A 22,206-nucleotide genomic window follows, 5' to 3' on the forward strand; every position below is an offset into this window, starting at 1 on the left:
TCTTGATCTCATGATTCCCCCACCTCAGTCTCCCAAAGTGCTGAGATTACAGGTGTGTACAGGTGTGTACACCGCACCTGGCCAGCTGTTTACTCTTTGATAGGCTCTTCTTAGGACAATGATTTTGTAATATCATTTTCAGTTCAACAAATGGAAAGATATTCAGTTTTGTCTCTACGGTTGACCAAAGTTTGTTCTTTGCAATTGATAATTTGGAAGTTTCTTTGTGCTTCACATATGATATTATTCGTAATGTTCTCTAAACTGTTAGGATTGTTATCAACTTTGGGAAAGCCTCTATCTTGCACTGTGAGGTCTTCCCTTTTCATAGCAACCTGTTCTTATTTTGTGGATGCATCATCTTTATGAGAATACTAAGGAGGGTGATTCTTTTAAATTTGTTTATTTTATTTATTTGGCTTATTCCTCTGAGTGATCTCCCCTTCCTCCAGCATTGTTTCTTTCTGTTAGTTTAACTTATCCTTTTTGTTTTACTGAAATGTTTTTGCTTGCACATGTTTGAGAAGGTGGGCAAAGAAGAGCTGACTATGACTTCTGTGTGGGAAGGTAGGTGGGAGTTGTGTTACTGAAAGCTTTTTTTCATAACGAGCAGACAGGGAACCAACCATTATACAGTATTTGGCAATCCTGAAATACAGTCTAGTCCTAATTCACTCAGTTTCTTTAGAATAAACCATCTTCTTTCTTGCAAGGGTTGAGGAAGGAACCTGACAGCTCTGCACACAGGGAAGGGGGGCAGGATTTATTATTAAGGCTTCAGCTTTATAGCTCACTTCTGCCATCAGGATGGTGGTGGCAAAAACATCGAGAACACCAGCATACACACCTCCACAATGATTTGTCTCTAAGATCTATCATTTGTTATGGTGAGTCTGGAGTCTTGTTAAGGTGAGTCTAGGAGTCTGTCCTGCCATCTTCTTTTCAGTGTCAGCACTGGCTTAGATGCTTTTTATTATTTTTATTCCTTTCAGCACTAAATCTCAGAGATAGCTATCTATGTCTCCGGAGTTTTGCCTGCAGGCTATATATACAATGCCCTCAGCTCCAAGGCCCTTCCTCTTCCATGCTCACAGCTCAGAAAATACTTCCCAACACTCATCTTACCAGAGTGTAAGCCAGGTGCCAAGACGTGACAAGTAGCAATGCCACATTTTTTAACTTTTAAAAACTGGGTCAGTCACAGATCTGAATAGCACTGAAACACAGCTGCTTTAAATTTTTGTCCCCTAAAACAAGGTCTAATTATAAGCTGCATGAGCAACTAAATCAGAAGTGTGCATTTGATTAAAATATGAACATTGTTTTTGACAAGTGGGTTTTGCATTGACTCTATGTCCCAGCTCAGAGTGGGGGTAGTCTCCAGTTTGACTTAAAAACACATTGCCCCAAATCCTTAGTGTTTGCAGCTTGCAATATGCATAACAAGGAAGGGGTTGGGGGGCGTTCCACACCATCCCAACACAAAGGCAAGGTCAAGCTAATTATGTCCAGTCTCACTTTGGTAGGGGGATAAGGATTTCCCTTCAGGGCACCTTAACCCCTTGAGGAGGCCAGGTCCCCTCACTTTATGTTCTGGGGCTTACAAGAGTCGATACTGCTAACATGGGAAGGGTCCAGTGGGGAAGGAAAGCAGGCCACTGCCTCCAGGGTAGAAGAGCTCATTTCAAATTGGTTGCTCATGGGCAACCGAATTTTGCAGGCAGTTGATAGTCCACTCCAGACAGCAACATGAAGGACAGCTGGTCACCGAAGCAGTTCCCCCTTTGTGGTTCCTCCTGCCTCCAGTTTTCCCTCCCCTCCCCCTATTTCAGATTTCTCCCCATCTTCCTCTTCTGTGGTCCATGGTGAGTGCCACCCCCACCCTCTTCTCCTTCTACCCCAGTATGTGGTCATTTGTGTGGTCTCTGTGAGCAGGAAAACCTGCAAATTTGCAGACCAAACTTTGTGTTTGGAGCAGTATTTCTAATCTTTGTAGGTGACTCATGTCTACTGGTACAGGCCAGGAGTGGGGATGGGAGCTAGTATTGGGGATTGTAATGGTACAGGTTTGATGCTCTCAGTGGTACCAGTAGAGCATGGTGAAGGGAAGAATGATTGTATCCTTTTTTAAGGAAGATTCCCTCCTATAATCAACTTTTTCAATTAATTGACCAACTTCTAGTTCATAGACGAGGTTTCCTACTATGCTATTACTAGCTACAATGCATTGAATACCTATGAGTACCTATTATGTGTCAGCAGTGGCTTAGATGCTTTTCACTATTTTTATTCCTTTCATCATCCTTCCAAGGTGTATTCACTTGTATCTGCATATTATAAAGAAAATAAGGTTCCCAGGCCAGGCGTGGTGGCTCACACCTGTAATCTCAGCACTTTGGGAGGCTGAGGCAGGTAGATCGCTTGAGCCCAGGAGTTCGAGACTGGCCTGGGCAACATGGCGAAACCCTGTCTCTACAGAAAATACAATAATTAGCTGGACGTGGTGGCACACACCTGTAGTCCCCGCTACTTGGGAAGCTGAGGTGGGAGGATGGCTTGAGCCCAGGAAGTCATACAGTGAGCTATGATGGCGCCACTGCACTCCAGCCTGGGCGATGGACTGAGACCCTGTCTCAGAGAAAAAGAAAAGAAAATGAGATTTCCAGAGGCTCTTTGACTCTTTGACGTCATTGACTCCAGGTAAGCAGATAATTCAGTTGCTGCTGAGTCAAATCCTTTATGCCTCATTTTTCTCATTTGTATCATGGCAGTGTTATGGGTCTTTAATGAGTTAATCTAGATAAAGAGATTTGTAAGCACTTAATAAATGTTTGGATGAGGAAGTATACAGGTATATCTTAGTTGATATTACCTCTCTCAAGATAATCCTGCAAGTAAATAATGGAATATGAATTTGATTAATAGTCTTTCTGGCCAGGCATGGTGGCTCATGCCTGTAATCCCAGCAGTTTAAGAGGCTGAGGCAGGCGGATCAACTTGAGGCCAGTAGTTCGAGACAAGCCTGGCCAACATGGCAAAATCCCGTCTCTGCTAAAAATACAAAAAATTAGCCTGGCATGGTGGCACATCCCTGTAGTCCCAGCTTCTAGGGAGTCTGAGGTGGGAGAATCACTTGAGCCCGGGAGGTGGAAGTTGCAGTGAGCCAACATCGGGCCACTGCACTCCAGCCTGGGCAACAAAGTGAGACTCTGTCTCAAAAAAAAAAAAAAAAAAAAAAAAAAAGCATTTCTACTGAAAGACCGAGAAGAGACTGTGTGCACGGACAAAGCAATAGGCTACCCAGATCAGAGTCTTTGTGATGATGGTGGAAAGGAAGTATTGAAGGAAGGCCTGCCTGCTATTCCTTAGCTCACGGTTAAGAATGTCCTCTCTATATTCCCACCTACTTATAGTCCCCTATTAGGAGACTAACACATTTATTAGGTATTTATTATGTGCCAAGTACTGTGCTGGACACCTGTCACTTCATCTCATTTGCTCCTTATTCCATTTATATGAAATGAGAATTATTATCCTCATTTTACTGATAAGGAATGATAAGAGTCATTATATAACTTTCCCAAGGTCAAACAGCCAGTGAATGGTAGAGCCATGATTTGAACCCATAATTTGGAGAGATTCCAGAGCCTGCTCCATGTGGCTTCCATGAATGGGAACCTATTCCTTTTGAAGTTATTCCTATGGCCCCTTTAAGCTTCAGGACAAATCATTTTGTGACTAAGTATAAGACAGTCACAGTCGGGCACGGTGGCTAACGCCTGTAATCCTAACACTTTGGGAGGCTGAGGCGGGTGGATCACTTGAGGTCAGGAGTTCAAGACCAGCCTGGCCAACATGGTGAAACCTCATCTCTACTGAAAATACAAAAAATTAGTCGGGTGTAGTGGCGGACACCTGTAATCCCAGCTACTTGGGAGGCTGAGGCAGGAGAATCACTTGAACCTGGGAGGCAGAGGCTGCAGTGAACTGAGATCACACCACCGCACACCAGCCTGGGCGACAGAGCAAAACTCCATCTCAAAATAAATAAATAAAGACAGTCACCTGTGCTGGCGCTCTTCAGGATTAGTTAATAAATCAAATGTTAACTGAAAACCTGGATGACATAATGGTGTTGGTGTCTAAAAACATCTAGAAAAGTTTCCATCTACATTTATGAAAATCTGCTTCAGCTCACTAAGGGACAAGTGGAGCCAAAAGCAGGCAGTGATGTGTTAGTCTGAGGCTTCCTGGGCAGGGACTGTCTCGTTCATCAGTTTCCATAGCTCCTAACATGAGATCAGCACATCAAAATTAGGGCCATTTATCGAGTACCTGCTGTGGACCAGATAACTTAATAAGCATCATCTCAATCCTCATAACAATCCTGCACAGGTGCAGACTCTAAGGCTCAGAGACATTAAGCAACTCACCACTAATGAGTAGCAGAACTGGTAGAACTCAGACCATCCGAGGTTTCTCAAAAAAGATCATAGTTGAGCTGGATCCTGGAGGATACATTTGAAGGAGGAAAATATGAGAAAAGTCCTTCTAATTAGCAGCAACAGGCAAAGAGGAGGAAAAGAGCATGACATTACCTAATTGAATAGCAATAATTTTTTTAGAGAAAAGTCTTTCCAAAACATCCAACTTAGCTTTCATAGGAATAATAGCTCAACTTCTTTTTACACTCATATTTCATAGGTTTCCATTGTACATTTAATTTAATTACACCATGTGTGCCTGGCAAAAACTGGTTAGCAAACGTCACTGACTCCTGGTAAGCAGATAATTCAATTGCTGCTGAGTCAAGTCCTTTATGCCTCATTTTTCTCATTTGTGTCATGGCGGTGTTATGTGGCTTTAATGAGTTAATCTAGATAAAGAGATTTGTAAGCACTTAATAAATGTTTGGATGAGGAAGCATACAGGTGTATCTTAGCTGATATGTTTTCCCTGAAGGAATGTGGAGCATCAGTAAACCCCGTGCATGATTTGGTTACATGGAGGAACATTACCAGCTTCTCCTGTGTTACGGGATGGTTTTATTAGACAACAATGCCTTCTATGGATCATAGAAAACCTTCCCACCGAAATACTACCTTCTCATTCTCGGATTTCTTATGAAATGTGCACTTTGTCCCCAGGATACCTGACTCATTCCTTATCCAAAGGCCTTATTTGCAGGTCTGGCCTGAAGGCAGGAAGCAGCACAAAAGTAGTGTCTCCTCCTTCAACATTTGAATGACTGCCATAAAAATAAATAAATAACATCCTTTTTTTACTCCCAAAGGGGATGTTTACAACAAGTGTCTTACTCTCTCCTCAACTACAGCAAATATATGTTCAGGAGTATCAGGTTGCAAGGTATACACCAATTCCAAGAGCACTGCTGCAAGCAAAATATGCCATACTTTCTGATGTTAGAAAATTCTCCAAGTTGACTTCATTTCTCGGTTGCTGGCAGCCAATCATAAGCATCCTAGAAATGCTGCACGTCTAGTGGAAAAGTTGGAATGTAAGGCCCTCCAAGGTAATATGATGGAAAGAAGAAGGGCTTTAGAGGCAGACATGACTGGATCCAAATTCAGTCTGTGCCATTTGTTTTTAGCTGTGCAATTTGGTCAAGTCACTTAACCTCTCTAAGCCTCAGTTTCCTCAACTACACAAAGAATAATCTTTGCTGCATTAAATTCTTGAAAAGACTTAATGTGTTAAGGCAGAAATTCACCTAGTTTAGGACTGGACACACAGTGTGCATTCAATGTATGGTAGCCATTATTATTGATTATTTTTCAGTATAACTCCAGCATTGAACCTTAGGTGTAATGAAGCTATACAATGTCGTGACTAAAAGCCAGGCTACCTGGGTTTGAATTCCAGATCTTCTACTTCTGAACTGAGTAAACTTGGACAACTTTTTAAAGCTCTCTGTGCTTCATTTTCCTTCTCTAAAATAGAAAAAGTAACACAACCTATCTCAAAGGGTTGTTATCAGAGTTAAATAAGTTAGTATATGTAAAATGTTTAGAATAGTACTTAGAACATATTAAGCAGTAATGTGTCAGGTATTATATAATTACTGTATTATAACTGTCTCTTTAACTGTGAACTGTGAGATAAGGACTCTTTTGTTTCTGTATCTCCAGGGTGGTCAAGTGACTAGAGCAGATTAATAAATGTTAATTGAATAAATGAAGCATCTCACATGCCATGCTAGTCAAGACTTTCCCTAATTTAAACTAACCAATTTAAACTAACTACAAAGTCTAGGCATGGTGGTTCATGCCTGTAACCTTAGCCCTTGAGAGGCTGAGGTGAGGGGATCAGCTGAGCTCAGGAATTCAAGACCAGCCTGGGCAACATAGTGAGACCCCATCTCTCAAAAAAAAAAAAAAAAAAAAAGCTGGATGCGGTAGCACATTCCTGTAGTCCCAGTTAATTGGGAGGCTGAGACGGGAGGATTGCTGGAGCTCAGGAGTTCAAGGCTGCAGTGAGTCATGATCATGTCACCGCAGTCTAGAGTTGGTGACAGAGTGAGACCCTGTCTCAAAAAATAAAATAAAAATAAATAAACTAACTAAAGAAAAAATAAGGCAATTTATTGCTGCTCATATTTAAATAACCCAGGGATGAATCTTCCTTCAGGCATAATTAGAACCCAGGGCTCAAATAATTTAAGGAATTGTCTCTAGCATTTCTGTTTTGTTGGCTCTCTCCACACATAGGGCATTATAGCCACCAGCAACCCAAGCCTCAGAGCCAGCCACTTTAGCACTCAGTGGAAAAAGAGACTCTTCCAAAATATCTGGCCAGGAGAGAATTTTAATGTGCCCAGTTTGAGTCATGCACCCATCCTACTATTAACTTCTGTGGTCAAAGAAATGATGTAATCTGATTAGCTAGGTCTGCCCCACTGTGTAAAAAGGAAGGGGCAGCCCTATGCAAACACACAGATTTCCCCAAAGGAAATAACATTCTATTATAGGGATGAAGGGAAAGGGATGCTGAGCAGGCAAAAATGCCAGATGGCTTGACATATGCCAAAGAATGGTTGTCAAGCCCATTGGTCCTAGGTCAGCAGTCCCCAACCTTTTTGGCACCAGGGACCGGTTTCATGGAAGACGATGTTTCCACAGACCAGTGTGTGTATGTGGGGAGGGATGGTTTCAGGATGAAACCTGAAATATAATGTACAAGTGCATTATATTTATTGTGTGCTTTATTTCTATTATTATTACATTGTAATATGTAATGAAATAATTATACAACTCACCATAATGCATAATCAGTGGGAGCCCTGAGCTTGTTTTCTTGCAACTAGACAGTCCTATCTGAGGGTGATGAGAGACAGTGACAGATCATCAGGCATCAGATTCTCATAAGGAGCACACAACCTAGATCCCTTCCTTGCCCACTTCACAATAGGGTTCACGCTCCTAAAAGAACCTAATGCCATCTGAGAGGAGGCAGAGTTCAGGCAGTAATGAGAGCAATGGGGAGGGGCTATAAATACAGATGAAGCTTCGCTCGCCTGCCACTCACCTCCTGCTGTGTGGCCTCTCTAGATTATTCCAGACAATAAAACTCTGCCCACTTTTAACAGGGCTTTTAAGAAAAACACCTTAATCTTTCTAAGTAATTATTCCAGATTTCAATAATCTCCACATAAAGTTATTCTTAAATTCAATCTAGTCTAAATTCCTTGGTATTCAAGGTATTTTTCTTCTTGTTTGTTCTGCTGTGAAATGAAAAAAATGGCTTAGCAAGTTATTTAATCTATAAATTAATTTGAATACTTTTTATGAAGGAAGGACAAATAGATATTATGAATATGGGGTCACCTGGAGAAGCATGGTGAGAAGTCAAATCTAATGGGAAAGAAAGCTGTGATCAATTAACGAAGTCTACTTGCCCCAGGTTCTAGAGAGGAGAGTGGTCACACAGTTGGCTGTGTTTGCCATCTCTGGTTTTTGTAATTCTTCATCTTAAAAACAAAAGTTGTATCTACTTACAGGGCTAAAAATTATTCCCCAGTGAATCAGCAAAGAGAGTGTAATTAGTATGTTTTTTATGCAAAAGAAGATTGCAAACCACTCGGCACTCTGCTTGGATTTGCTGAGGTGCCACCTCAGGTGTTAACAAAAATGAGATGTGTGAGAGAGAAAATCATTACACCCACCAGCAGCCCTTCCTTCCACCCTGGATCTCATCATCTGAAGTGTCATCACTGACACCAGATGTGCTTTTGTGGCATCGTGGCAGCTGACAGCTAAAGATGAGCAAGTTAGTCTGATTTGCAGTAACTTTTCCCATTTATTTTGTTCCATTGATATACATGGACCAGGCTGAATTGTCATCCAGAAGATTCTATTTTGCCTGTCTCCACACTAACTTTTTTAATACAAACAGTTTAAAATAAACAAAATTAGAATCGTATTGTTTAAATGCCCATCACTTAGATTCAACAATTATTAGAATTGTGCCATATTTGCTTCATGTATCCCTCTCCTTTTTCTATTTGAGTATTTCAAAGCAAGTCTCAGACCTCATGTTATCTCTCCCTTGATACTGCATACACAAATATTTTCTACATAACCACACTGCTACCAACACACCTAACAAAAGTAACACCTCTTTGGTATCATCGAATTCTTAGATAATTTTTATACTTTCCTGATGTTTAAATACATGTATTTTTTATGGTTAGTTCATTAGAATCAGAATCTGAACAAGGTCGTTACATTGCATTTGAAGGTTATGTCTTTTGAGTCTTAAAATCTACAACAGTATCTCCCAGCTCTACCCCACCCTTTTTTTCATGCTATTGATTTGTTGATTAAACTAGTTCAATAGTTCTATAAAATATCCCACATTCTGGATTTATCCATTTATTTATAAGTAGTGTCACTTAAACTTGAGTCTGTATCCCCTGTATTTCATGTAAACTAGAAAATTAGTCCCAAAGGCCTTATTAGATTTGGGTTCCTTTTCTTTTTTCTCCCCATAAAGGGGGCATCTCAAGAGGTACATACTGTCTGGCTGTCCCACTCTGAGTGTAGTTAACACTGATCAGTGGTTCCAGGGGTGTCAGCCGGATCTCTCTATTGTAAAGTTCTCCAGAAGCTTTTAATCTAATTCTTTCATCCCTTATTGATCTTTGCAAAATGCTGGTTTTTTTTTCCTAATTCTATCATTCCTACCACATTTTTTAGCTGGGATTCGTCTGTAAAGAACTTTTCCTTATCAGTTAGGTCTAGTTGGTCACCTGGAAATGTAGATTGCATTGGGAAGGCAGGATAATACTGTTGCAGAATTTTGCTCCTTAGTTCAGCTAATACCAGGTTCTAGACACAAGCCAGGAAAATTTAGACACATGGACACACTGAAGGGTAAATAGAGCAGGATTTCATTGGGCAAAAAGGGAGAAAAAGAAAAAAGACTCAACAAAGCAAGATGGAGTCCTGCTAACAGGCCTCTCACCTCAGGGACTGAATCCCAGGCCACCACACAGGAATTGGAAGCCAGGCTCCTCCCCTGGCCTGTGGCCCCCCCCTCCGCCCGTGGCTCCACCCCATTCCCCCAGTGCACATGTGGGCATGGTCAGGCAAAGCCCTGCGCAGGTTCCCTCATCTGAACAAAAGCATCTGATATAAAGACTTGTGGGGCTGGTCAGAGGTTCTCCAGGAACCCCTTTTTATCTGCCTATGCATTTGGCTGTCTCATTCCCCCCTCTAAAGAAGTCCATCTTACTGCATTAGAATAAGGATAAGGACAAGGATAAGGATAAGGATGAAGACCACTCTTAACTGCTTCCTGTGACGGGGCACTCTCTCAGATCTCCCTCAGAGGCCTATCTAAAGGTCCCTGGCAAAAAGGGCCATCATCCAAGGCTCCAGTTGCATGACCATTTAGAGTGTGATGGCCTGAAGGGGAGAAGAGACAAACCGGGTTATTAGAAAACACGTATCAAAACGAAACAAGGTGGGGGTAAGGAAAGCTCAAAAATCCTGAGGCCTTTTACCTGTTTGCACAGGGAAAGGGAGACCAAAAGCCTGACTGGTAAAACAAACTTTTACCCTCTTGCCAGCATGTCAGGCTTCTGGGTTCCCTACCCCAAGCCCAATCCTAAGCCAACCAGTTTAAGGTTTGGGAATGCAGTTTGGAGGATGCATCCGAGAGGAGTGTCCCGTACTATGGAGACACAATTACCTGTAAGTGAAGAGAGGACAGAGGAGGAAAAAGGAAAAAGAAGGCAGTTTTTCGAAGAAGTCCCAGGGCTTCAGGATACATTTGAAAGGGGTACAGAAAGATGAATGGCTACTCATCTAGAAAGAGGGCACCAGGCATCCCTGGTTTCTTTCTCTTCCTAGCAAATACGCGGGGTATGTAAGGGAGAGAAAGTGAGGTGTCGCTCTTTCTCTCTTCCATCCTTATATACCCGAGTCCTGGCAACTGTGACAGGGTGCCACCCATGGGTGTTGAAGTGGCTTTCACCCATGTTAACAGGAAGGCCAAGGGAGTGGGAGTATCCACTTTTATCCATATATGCCCTATCTTCCCTGCTGTCAGTAGCCTTTGAATTCCCTAGACCTCATTTATGCCATGGATACTAGCATGACCTTTATGGGACCTTTATGGGAAGCTTGGCTTAATTGGCAGGAAGTAGTCATGCTCACTTGTGCTGTGCCTTTTAATTTCTGTTATTGTCTGCCTCTGGATCCCTCAGATCCAGTTTTCTTTCCTAGGGCTTTGACCCAAAGCTTGGAATTGAGTTTGGGTCAAAAATGTGAGGCCGGGTGCAGTGGCTCACACCTGTAATCCCAGCACTTTGGGAAGCCAAGGCAGGCAGATCCCCTGAGGTTGGGAGTTCGAGACCAGCCTGACCAACATGGAGAAACCCCATCTCTGCTAAAACTACAAAATTAGCCGGGCATGGTGGCGCATGCCTGTAATACCAGCTACTCGGGAGGCTGAGGCAGGAGAATTGCTTGAACCCGGGAGGTGGAGGTTGCTGTGAGCCAAGATCGTGCCATTGCACTCCAGCCTGGGCAACAAAACCGAAACTCCACCTCAAAAAAAAAAAAATGTGTCAGGAGGCGGGTGGTGCATGTACTCCTTATCATAAACCGAATGTTAAGGTGCAGCTGTGGAATTGAGTCCTCCTCCAACAAGGGAAAGAAAAGGATGTCTTGTGACACACCCAGATAGCTAGTGGTGATAGTTATGCTTGCCAAGATTTGGGTGCATGGGGCTTGGCTTGGTTAGCTCCCTTGATCTTACTTTCCCAAAAAGGAAACCTCCAGGGCATCCTATTTATTCCCATCACCTGGCAGGATTTGCAGGATAATTGCTCAGAACTAGAATATTGATCCGGATTTCTACATTACCCATCCCTTTTGTTCTTTCTGAGCTGCAGCCAGAGATTGCTGGATGGTTCACAGGAATAAGCAGGGTTAGCCGAAAATGTAGGCAAAAACTTAAAAACACCTAATGAGTCTAGAATCTAATGACGATGAGATTTGAAACATAATTTCACTCTCTAGTCCTCATTTTCATTAAAAACAAATTATGATAGGATTGCATTGTTTGCAAAATAGACTTTAGTCTTATACTTGGTCAGATTATTTGCATAAAGTGCAGCAAGAATAATTATTTCTACATAGACCTTTTAGATTGGCTTTAATGGAACTCTGTTCCACAAGGAATCTCAGATAAGACCTTTTAAAGCCAGGCCAGCGATGGGTTTGTATCCTCAAATACCTGCAAGTTGAATAAACTTCTCTTTTCTTGAGGTCCCAAGAACATGTGGTTCCTGGGCCTGCTGGAAAGTAACATTCTTTACTCACCACAGGTTAGGAATCCTGCATGGGGACTGTGTAGACAAGGGTGTGAGATCAGGTTTCCCAAGGAGCTTTTCTTAGTTCTGCAAGTTGAGCTTGACTCCTTAAAGGGAAGCACATACCCTTCCAGTCAAAGCCTTAGTAAGACAACCAGTTTCTCCAATTGCATCCTGTTGTGAACATCACTAATCATTGGAGAAATGCAGATCAAAACCACAATGAGATACCATCTCACACCAGTCAGAATGGCTATTACCAAAAAGTCAAAAAATAAAAGATGTTGAGGCTGCAGAGAAAAGGAAATGCTTATACACTGTGTTAGTGGGAATGTAAATTTATTCAGCCACTGTGGAAAACAATTTGGAGATTTCTCAAAGAACTAAAAATAGAACTCTCATTTGACCCAGAAATCCTATCACTGGACATATATCCAAAGGAAAATTAATTATTCTACCAAAAAAACACATGCACTCATATGTTCATCATAGCACTGTCCACAATAGCAAAGACATGAAATCAACCTAGGTGCCCATCAATGGTGGATTAGATAAAGAAAATGCCATACATATACACTATGGAATATGACACAGCCATAAAAAATTACAAAATCATGTTCTCTGCAGCAGCACACATGGAGCTGGAGGCCATTATCCTAAGCCAATTAATGCAGAATGGAAAGTCAAACACCACATGTTCTCACTTACAAGTGGGAGCGAAACACTGGGTACACATGGACATAAAGATGGGAACAATAGACACTTCAGGCTACTAGACAGCTGAGAGAGGGAAAGGGGCAAGGGTGGAAAAACTACTTGTTGGGTACTATGCTCACTACCTGGGTGATGGGGTCAGTTATACCCCAAACCTCAGCATCACGCAATATATCCATGGAATAAACGTGCACATGTACCCCTGAATCTAAAATAATAGTTGAAAAATTTTTTAAAAGGTTCTTATCCTTAAGAGATACATACTAAAATATATAATATCTCAGATTTATGTCAAAATAATGCAGTGGTCAAGGAGAGGGAAGGATATAAATAAAACAATTTTTGGCTAAGAGTTGTTAATTATTGAAGCTGGATGATGGGCACATGAGGGTTTATCATTCTATGCTTTCTACTTTTTTTTTTTTTTTTTGAGACAAAGCCTCACTCTGTTGCCTAGGCTGGAGTGCAGTGACGCGATCTCAGCTCACCACAACCTCCACCTCCCAGATTCAAGCGATTTTCCTGCCTCAGCCTCCCGAGTAGCTGGGACTACAGGCACACGCCACCATGTCTGGCTAATTTTTGTATTTTTAGTAGAGACGGGGTTTCACTATGTTGGCCAGGCTGGTCTCAAACTCCTGACCTCGTGATCCTCCCGCCTTGACCTCCCAAAGTGCTGGGATTACAGGCATAAGCCACCACACCCGGCCTCTTCATACTTTTAAAATATGCATTAATATATATGCATTTTTCCATAATAAAAAGTTTTTCAAAATGAGAATTTAAAAAATATAATGACAGTGAAGTGGCAATGGAAGTGTTAAATTTTTCAATCTGGTGAAGCTCCAGTTTCTCAGTGTCACGTTTGGACCAGATCACGGCCTTGTGTAATCTGGCTGCACCTTGCCAGTGTCTGTGGACATCAACAACAGCAAATCTTTACTGAGATCCTTCTGTGTGTCAAGTCCAATCAGAGAGAAAGGTTCTTTTACAGCAATAGAGAGACACAGAGAGATGTGCAATGTACTGGTAATAAAAATAGGAGAATGAAATCATTGTTCCCACAGAAAGGCCCCAATGAGTCTTCCAAAATAAACGCATATTATTTATGTAATTTTTCAAATACACCTTTATCAAGAAAAGAATAAAACATCGTTGGATCATGGCATATTGCTGTTTAAAATGATCCATTAATGTTCTAATTGTCATCAGGACAAAGGCCCATAACCATGCCTGCCTCATGTCTGGACTTTTCCTCCTTCCCCAGCTCCATCTCCTGCCCATCCCAACATACTTTAAATTTCAGCCACAGGAAGGGACTTACAGTTCCCAGAACATGCCCCCTGGAGTGTGCACTCCACTGGGGTAGTTTCATCCATTCAACTGCATTCATCCATCTCCTAGCATGCCTCATGCCACGTGCATGCCATGCTCGCTCTCTTCCCTACCTGGACCGCCTTTCTCCCTCACCAGTTTCATTCTTCAAGTTTCATCTTACATGCCATCTTCTTTGAGAAACTTTCTTTGAGCAAGCTGAGCAAGCCTGCCCTCTTCTGTGTTCTCTGTGTAGGGGAGGGTTGGAGGAGAGAAGGGCACACATCTTATTTCTCCCACTAAATTCTGAGATTAGAGCTAAAATCCTGTTTATTCACAGTATGTGGCTTAAGGCCTGAGTCATACTGGAAGATCAATGGGTGCTTGTTGAAAGAATGAATGAATGAATGAATGAATGAAGCTTCCTCACTAGAATGTAAACCCACAAGGGCAAGAATTTTCATTGTTTTGTTTTGCTTTATCTTTAGCACATGGGACAGTACCTGACACACAAATGTTTGTCAAAATAATTAAAATTACCTGTCAAAGAAAAAGCAACAGGTCTACAAGAAGGCTTATATCCAAACTAACCATTTGCTGGTTGTATCTGTGGATTAGTAGAAGACTTTGATCCTGGACTTACAAACAAATTAAAGACAAAAAGTGTTTTGAAGGTTGAATACAATGAGATGTTTTTCAAACTTTACTGAGTTAGTAACTCGGATTTAAAAGTGTAAAATAGGCCAGGCAATGTAGCTCACTCCTCTAATCCCAACATGTTGGGAGGTCGAGGTGGGCAGGTTACTTTAGCCCAGGAGTTTGAGACCAGCCCGGGCAACATGGCAAAATCCCACCCCTATCAAAAAAAAAAAAAAAAAATTGCTGGGTGTGGTGGTGTGCACCTGTAGTCCCAGGTACTAGGAGGCTGAGGCTGGAGGATCACTTGAGCCCTGGAGGCGGATCACGCCACTGTACTCCAGCCTGGGTGACAGAGCCAGACCGTGTCTCAAAAAAAAAAAGGAAAAAAAGTGTGAAATTAAAACTTATCTCTAAGTCCAAGAGTGATCAGGACATTTATTAACTTAATTATTTTAGAACTTGAATGGCTCTTACATGGAGCAGGCCATTTTCTATGTGCCCATATTATGGACCGAAAGAACTACATGCAGCCAGGGAGCAACTCATGATTTCCCACATCAGGAAGAGCCAGGATGCAAGGAAAGCCTTACATCATGAATGACATCACCTTACTGACCTAATTTCTACAAGACAATGGAATAATTTCTTCTTGCCCAAACCTTTCAGCAGCTTGGACCAGCATAGTGAGATGATGGGAGGGCTCCATAGACAAAGGACAATTGTTGGCCTTCCCTCGACAGAAGGGTGGTTTACAAAGTGATCTTTCTCAGGCGTCTGCCTGGGACCAATTGTACACCACATGACAGGTGCTCTTACATAAGTAAGGCAGAATTGGATTCAGTTTGGGTTTCTTTTCTTTTTGAAACCATCTTTCTCTGGAATTGTCCTTTCTAAAAGTCACTAGAACAACAGGAGGGAAAAGTGAGATCTTGAACTCCCCAGGGAATCAAAGTGGCACTTCCTTCCCCTTTCTTTCTTTGTCTACCTTTGCACTGTTGCCATCCGCTGGGACCTCTTTGGAGAGGAGGTTTTATTCCCCTGCTTTCTTTCAGAATCCTGCTTCACATAATCTTCACTAGCTCTTCACAAAGAAAACTAGGACTCTCATTTATTTTATCCAATCCACCACTACATCCAGCCTTGAAAACAGCAGGCAGCCTATTATTCTCTAACAGGGACAAATAGCAGGATGGAGCTTGACTATTTTCCATGAGGCTGATTTTTGCTAATCTAACGCATTTATTCTTTGACACCTTTTCATGGCCAATTGAGAAGTGGTACCCAGAAAGACAGTAATGCAACTTAGAAATGTATGGAAAATTGATAATGTTGAGATCTTAATTGAGGTGAAAATAACCAAATAACGTGTGGAGGGACATTAGGACCATTTTGTAGTATTGACAAAAGATACATGACACATAGCCTTCCATCCAACAACTCTGCTCTAGGATTCTAGCTCACAGAAATACACCAGGGAGCAAAGGCATAAGAGTAACATTGTTTATTGAATTATAACTGTAGAATCATATGAAATGACATAAAAAGATATGTATTGTAATGTGGAAAAAGTAAAATGCAGAACAATATTATATGTGTGGTTTCATTTTTGTTAAAAAACACCACATGTGGTTGCATATACCTGTGTATATTTATAGACATAAAGAAAAAGGCTGGAGGCCAGGTGTGGTGGCTCACGCCTGTAATCCCAGCACTTTGGGAGGCTGAGGTGGGCGGATCACGAGGTCAGGAGTTCAAGACCAGCCTGACCAACATGGTGAAACCCGGTCTCTACTAAGAATACAAAAATTAACTGGGTGTAGTGGCATGCACCTGTAATCCCAGCTACTCAGGAGGCTGAGGCAGGAGAATTGCTTGAACCCAGGAGGTGGAAGTTGCAGTGAGCCAAGATCACACCACTGCAGTCCAGCCTAGGCGACAGAGTGAGACTCCATCGCAAAAAAAAAAAAAAGGGCTGGAAAGATACATGCTAAAGCCTCCTTTTTCTGGAGAGTGAGACTGGGGAGTGTGGTGAGGGGAAATTTCACTCTGTTTCATACACTCTGGATTATTTAAATCTATTGTAAAAACCAATAAAGGAAATTAAGAATAAGTGGATTGGTATAAGGTAGTTAATTTATTTTTTATTTTCTTTATTCTTTCGAGACGGGTTCTCACTCTGTTGCCCAGGCTGGCATCCAGTGGCATGATCTCGGCTCACTGCAACCTCCGCCTCCCAGGCTCAAGGAATCCTCCCATCTCAGCCTCCTGAGTAGCTGGGATGACAGGTGTGCACCATCACACTGGGCTAATTTTTGTATTTTTTGTAGTGATGGGGATTCACCATTTTGCCCAGGCTGGTCTCTAACTCCTAAGCTCAAGTAATCTGCCCACCTCAGCCTCTCAAAGTGTTGGGATTACAGGCCTGTGCCACCGTACTGGGCCTGGGTCATTAATTTATAGAGCATTTATTTTGTGCCAGGCACATGATAGATACTTTATATAGATCACCTCACATGTCCCTCCAATCTTCTGATGTAGGTAATGTTATCCCTATTTATGAGTGAGAAAACAGATTCAGAGAAGTAACTTGTCCAAGGTAATAGAGGTAGTAAGTAGCAGACCTAGGGTTCAAACTCACACCTTTCTGATTCCAAAGCCAAGATCTTTCCATTGGTCTGACAATGCTCTCATATGATATAGTCCTGGCTCAGCAGATGGGCTTATTAACATTACTACATTGCCACTGAATGTTAGGTTTATTTTTAGAAACTTACGGAAAATTTTATACACAAAAAGGAAAAGTGTAATGAATCCATGTGTTCATTATCACCCAGAGTCAATAATTATTAATACTCTGCATCATTGTTTTATCTATCCCCACAAATACTTTTTTTTTTCTTTTTGAGACAGGGTCTCGCTCTGTCACCCAGGCTGGAGTGCATGCAGTAGCTCAATCACAGCTCACTGGAGCCTCAACCTCTCAGGCTCAAGTGATCCTCCCACCTCAGCCTCCCAAGTAGCTGGGACTACAGGCGAGTGCCACCATGCCCAGCTAATTTTTTCTATTTTTTGTAGAGACGGAATCTCACTATTCTGCTTAGGCTGGTCTCGAACTCCTGGGCTCAAGCAATCCTACAGTCATGGGCCACCCCACCCAGCCTATCCCCACAAACACATTTTTGGGAGAGCATTTTAAAGTAAATTCAAGGTTTATCATTTCATCATCAATATTTCAATCTCTAAAAATAAGAACTTAAGAAAACATAGCCACAATACCATTATCACACATAATAAATTTAACAGTAATTCCTTAATATTATCTAATATCCAATCCACGTAATTTTCCTACATTATCTCCAAAAAATAACTTTTTTTTTTGTTTGTATGTGTTACATATGTCTCTTTTTTTTTTTTTAAGAGATGGGGTCTTCCTCTGTTGCCCAGGCTGGAATGCAGTGGCACAATCATAGCTCACTGCAGCCTCAAACTTCTGGGCTCAAGTGATTCTCCCACCTCGGCGTCCTCAGGCACATGCCATCACGCCTGGCTAATTTTTAAACTTTTGGTAGAGATGAAGCCTTGCTATGTTGAGCAGACTGGTCTCAAATTTCTGGCCTCAAGCAATCCTCCCACCTAGGCCTCCCAAAGTGCTAGGATTACAGGCATCAGCCACCACACCCAACCTGTCTTAAGTCTTCAAGTCTTCTTGAATCTGTACTTTTCCAGCTCCCTTTTTCTTCATACCATTTATTTCTTGAAGAAATTGAGTCATGTGTCTTGGAGAATTTCCCATCTTTTTTATTTGATGTTTTATATCCTTATGGTGTCAATTTGCATGCTTCTCGGTTTTTCATATTTCTCACAAACCAGTGGTTAGAAAATTGTTAAATTCAGGTTCAATTATTTTGGCAAGAATATTTCTTAATTGGTGTTGTATACTTCCTACTACATCATATCAGGAGGCAATTAATGTCTGGCTGTCCCACTGTTAATAATGCAAAGGTGGTACAGTAGGTTCAAAGGTTGTCAGCCTCATCTATCTATTGCAAAGTTTCTTATCAACCATTCACCTAATAATTTTAGCAACCACTGATGATTTTTGCCTAGATCTGTTATTTTGTTAGGGATTAAGTTCATTTTTAATCCCGCAAGACAGGTATTTTTAAACACCATCCTGAGATGGGATGTAGGTCTCAAAAATATACATTTTATGACCTATTGTGTATTTACACAAGAATCATTGAGCTTTTAGCCTTATTTTCCTAAGACTATCAGCATTCTGCCACCTCATAAGGCCCATTTAGAATCATTTTGCTACTTAGAGTCACATTTTTATTAATCTATTTGGAATTTTTATCTATGCTGCAATCTCTAAATAATTCATAAAAAGGAAGAAGGCAGGAGGGGACAGAGGAAAGATATTATATCACCAGTCTTGATATATGCCTCAGTAAGCCACTTCAACATCTTTGAGTCCTTTTAAACTTCATGCCCAGGGCAACCTTTTACATTAGAAAAAGATGTTATTTTAGTCTCAGTGATTCTATGTCTATTCTTATTTTTTCCACATTCCTTGTAGCTTTTGTCCTGAGCCAAGTTCTGAAGGTAAACAAAGGGGAAGGCCTGGGTTCTGTTCTCCAGGGGTTCACAATCACCTACATGTAACAGAGAAATGCCCAGAAGGCTCTTGGAATGCAGGAAAGAGACACTCCCAGACTACAGAATCAGGGACAGCATCTCAAAGGAGAAGATGTTTAGCAGAGTTTTGAAGGATGAGCAGAAAGTAAGGGGAGGGCATTCCAAGAAAAGAAAAAACCCATACAAAGGCAAGAAGACGGAAAAGAATAGGCCTTTTCAGAGCACTGCACATGGTTTTGAATGACTGGGAGAGCAAGGTTTATAGGGAGAGGTAGCTGTGCTGGAGCAGTGACAGGGATAGGCCATGAGGAGCCAGGCCAAAGAGTTAGGATGGCTCTGAAGGACTTACAGCAGAAGAGTGGCAGAGTCTGATTGATCTTGTCTTGTTCCCCAGTACATTTTTTTCCTCCTTTTTCCTATTGGGGTGAAATTCACATAACATAAAATTAACTTTTTTAAGGTGAAAATTCAGTGGCATTGAGTACATTCATAATGTTGTGCAACCACCACCTCTATCCAGTTCTAAAACATTTGCATCATGCTAAAAGGAAAGTCTATACCCATTAAGCAATTACTCCCCTTTCCCCTCTCCCCTCAGCTCCTGATAACAACCAGACAGCTTTCTATACCTGTGGATTGATCTATCCACTCAGTATATTTTCTTTTTAAAATTTATTCAAGTAAAATGGATTTATTATAGAAGAATCAAGATAGAGATGAACAGAAAGAAAAATAAATATTGCTATCATCTTAGCATCATGGGTAAATTTTTTATGCTGTGTATTCTTCTAAACAATTTTCCAAGGCTTCTCCCTCTCCTCACCTCAGCATGTCACCCAACCCCCATATATTTCACAAGGTCCTCCAACCTTCTGGAGTCTCCCCAACCTTTGAGATATAAAAGAATCCTGCTCAAACCCCTATCCTATGAATGTCATGAAACCCAAGTCCCTACCGATATCTCTGAAGGGTCTCATATTGAGCCAGAGGTATGTTTCTTTTGATCACCTCTACCTCTGATTTTCTGCCTTGATCTCCACCCCTCATACTTCCTGCGCACCTTGCCCTTTCTTCTACAACACATCACCCTGTTGGACACTTGCTCAACCTCTTCTCTCCCCAAAAGATGGCCTAAATACGGTTGTGTGTTTAGCAAACTTTGAGGAAAGATTTGGGGGCTAGAGGGGCTAGCTTATATTGAAGCTCAGAGAACATCTTGAAACCAAGTATTCACAGTTCTTTTAAGAGTCCACCAGTCATTCCTGGCATTGGACAATTCTCACTGGCCATGCCTCCACCAGCTGCCCACCCTCTCCCCCTCTTCCCTTCCTCCCCTTTTCATTTTCCAGATTTAATCTGGCTGTAAACTCCAAAGCACTTATTGCCAATTCCCATTTCCTTTTGTGCAAGGCAATTTGTTGCTCCTTTTGTTTGCTCCAGCTGACAGAGATTCTAAATTATTTTGCTAACTCAAAACAGTCTCTCCCCATCAGAACGCTAGTGCCAGCTTGTCAAACTGACACTTTTCCCCCTACTGGCTGTATTTCCAGATTGCCTTGTTATTTTAAATGTCCTTCCTTAATTTGCCCAGGAGGTTTTCAGGATTTGTTGTTGTTGTTGTTGTTTTTAACTTCTATTTTAAGCTCAGAAGTACATGTGCAGGTTTGCTATACAGGTGAATTGCATGTCACAGGGCTTGGGTTTACAGATTATTTTGTCACCCAGGTAAGAAGCACAGTATCCCATAGGTAGTTTTTCGATCCTCTCCATCCTCCCTCCCTCCACCTCCCAGTGTCTGTTGTTCCCTTCTTTGTGTCCATACGGACTCAATGTTTAGCTCCCGCTTGTAAGTAAGAACACGTGGTATTTGATTTTCTGTTCCTGCTTTAATTTGCTTAGGATAATGGCTTCCAGCTCCATCCATGTTGGGTTTTCAGGTTCTTACTGGAAAACCCCCAATAAAAAACTAAGTAAATAGGCTAGGCGCAGTGGCTCTCGCCTGTAATCCCAGCACTTTGGGAGGCTGAGGTGGGTGGATCACTTGAGGTCAGGAGTTTGAGACCAGCCTGGCCAACATGGTGAAACCCCATCTCTACTAAAAATACAAAACTTAGCCAAGCATGGTGGCACATGCCTGTAATTCCAACTATTCAGGAGGCTGAGACAGGAGAATTGCATGAACCCAGGAGGTGGAGGCTGCAGTGAGCCGAGATTGTGCCACTGCACTCCAGCCTGGGTGACAAAGCAAGACTCCATCTCAAAAAAACAAAAAAACCCAAGTAAATAAATATATCCTTCTTTAAATTTTTTTTGTTGTTGTTCCTATCCATTCTTCTACTTCTTTTGAAATGGCTACATATATCCCCTGTTTTTGGTCACTGAGGTTTCCACTTCTTTATTATTATAGGCAGCACATCATGATATATATTAAGAAGATTAGTGGAATATGTATATGTGTGTGTGTATATATATATATATATATATATATATCTCCTTAATTATTTCTTAGCTATACATTCCTAGTAGAACACCCCCTATAAGGACTGTATACATTTATAGACCTAACCATGTTTGACAGTGCCTGAATCTCCAAACTCTTCTTTACAGTGCATTTATTAATCCTTGTTTTTTTCTTTGTGGTTTTAATTTGCATTTCTTTGACTAAACATGAAGGTGATAAATGCTTGACGTGACAGATATCCCAATTACACTGATTTGATCATTATGCCTTGTATGTTTGTATCAAAATATGACATTACCTCATAAGCATGTACAATTATATACCCACAAAAATTTTAAACAATAATAAATAAAAGAAGTTGAACATTTTTCATGTTTACTGGCCATCTTGGGTTTTTCTTATATAAAATGCCTTTTCTAGTCAATCTTTTTTTTGTTTTTGTTTTTGTTTTGAGACAGAGTCTCGCTCTGTAGCCCAGATTGGAGTGCAGTGGCGCCATCTCGGCTCACTGCAACCTCTTGCCTCCCAGGTTCAAGCGATTCTCCTGCCTCAGCCTCCCGGATAGCTGGGACTACAGGCGCCCGCCGCCACACCCAGCTAA

The 22,206-nt window shown here is 41.5% G+C and overlaps 1 protein-coding gene across 1 annotated transcript in view, besides 1 other annotated feature; it reads right to left on the reverse strand.

Moving 5' to 3' along the window:
* Positions 1-19,555, reverse strand: part of PAK1 (p21 (RAC1) activated kinase 1) — a 207,993-nt gene extending 188,438 nt beyond the window's left edge. Inside the window, exons 1-2 of the mRNA XM_024448560.2 lie at positions 19,494-19,555; positions 4,434-4,508 (exon numbers count right to left, since the gene is read on the reverse strand). The gene's annotated coding sequence lies outside the window, so the exon portion shown is untranslated. The remainder of the gene's footprint in view (positions 1-4,433; positions 4,509-19,493) is intronic.
* Positions 15,090-15,384: a silencer, noted in NCBI's record as "tiled region #3332; HepG2 Repressive DNase matched - State 9:DNaseU". NCBI's record gives its function as "represses a minimal TATA promoter and a strong SV40 promoter by Sharpr-MPRA in HepG2 cells {active_cell/tissue: HepG2}" and the evidence as "EXISTENCE:reporter gene assay evidence [ECO:0000049][PMID:27701403]".

Source organism: Homo sapiens, chromosome 11, assembly GCF_000001405.40.
Source record: "Homo sapiens chromosome 11, GRCh38.p14 Primary Assembly".
NCBI classification, from domain to species: domain Eukaryota; kingdom Metazoa; phylum Chordata; class Mammalia; order Primates; family Hominidae; genus Homo; species Homo sapiens.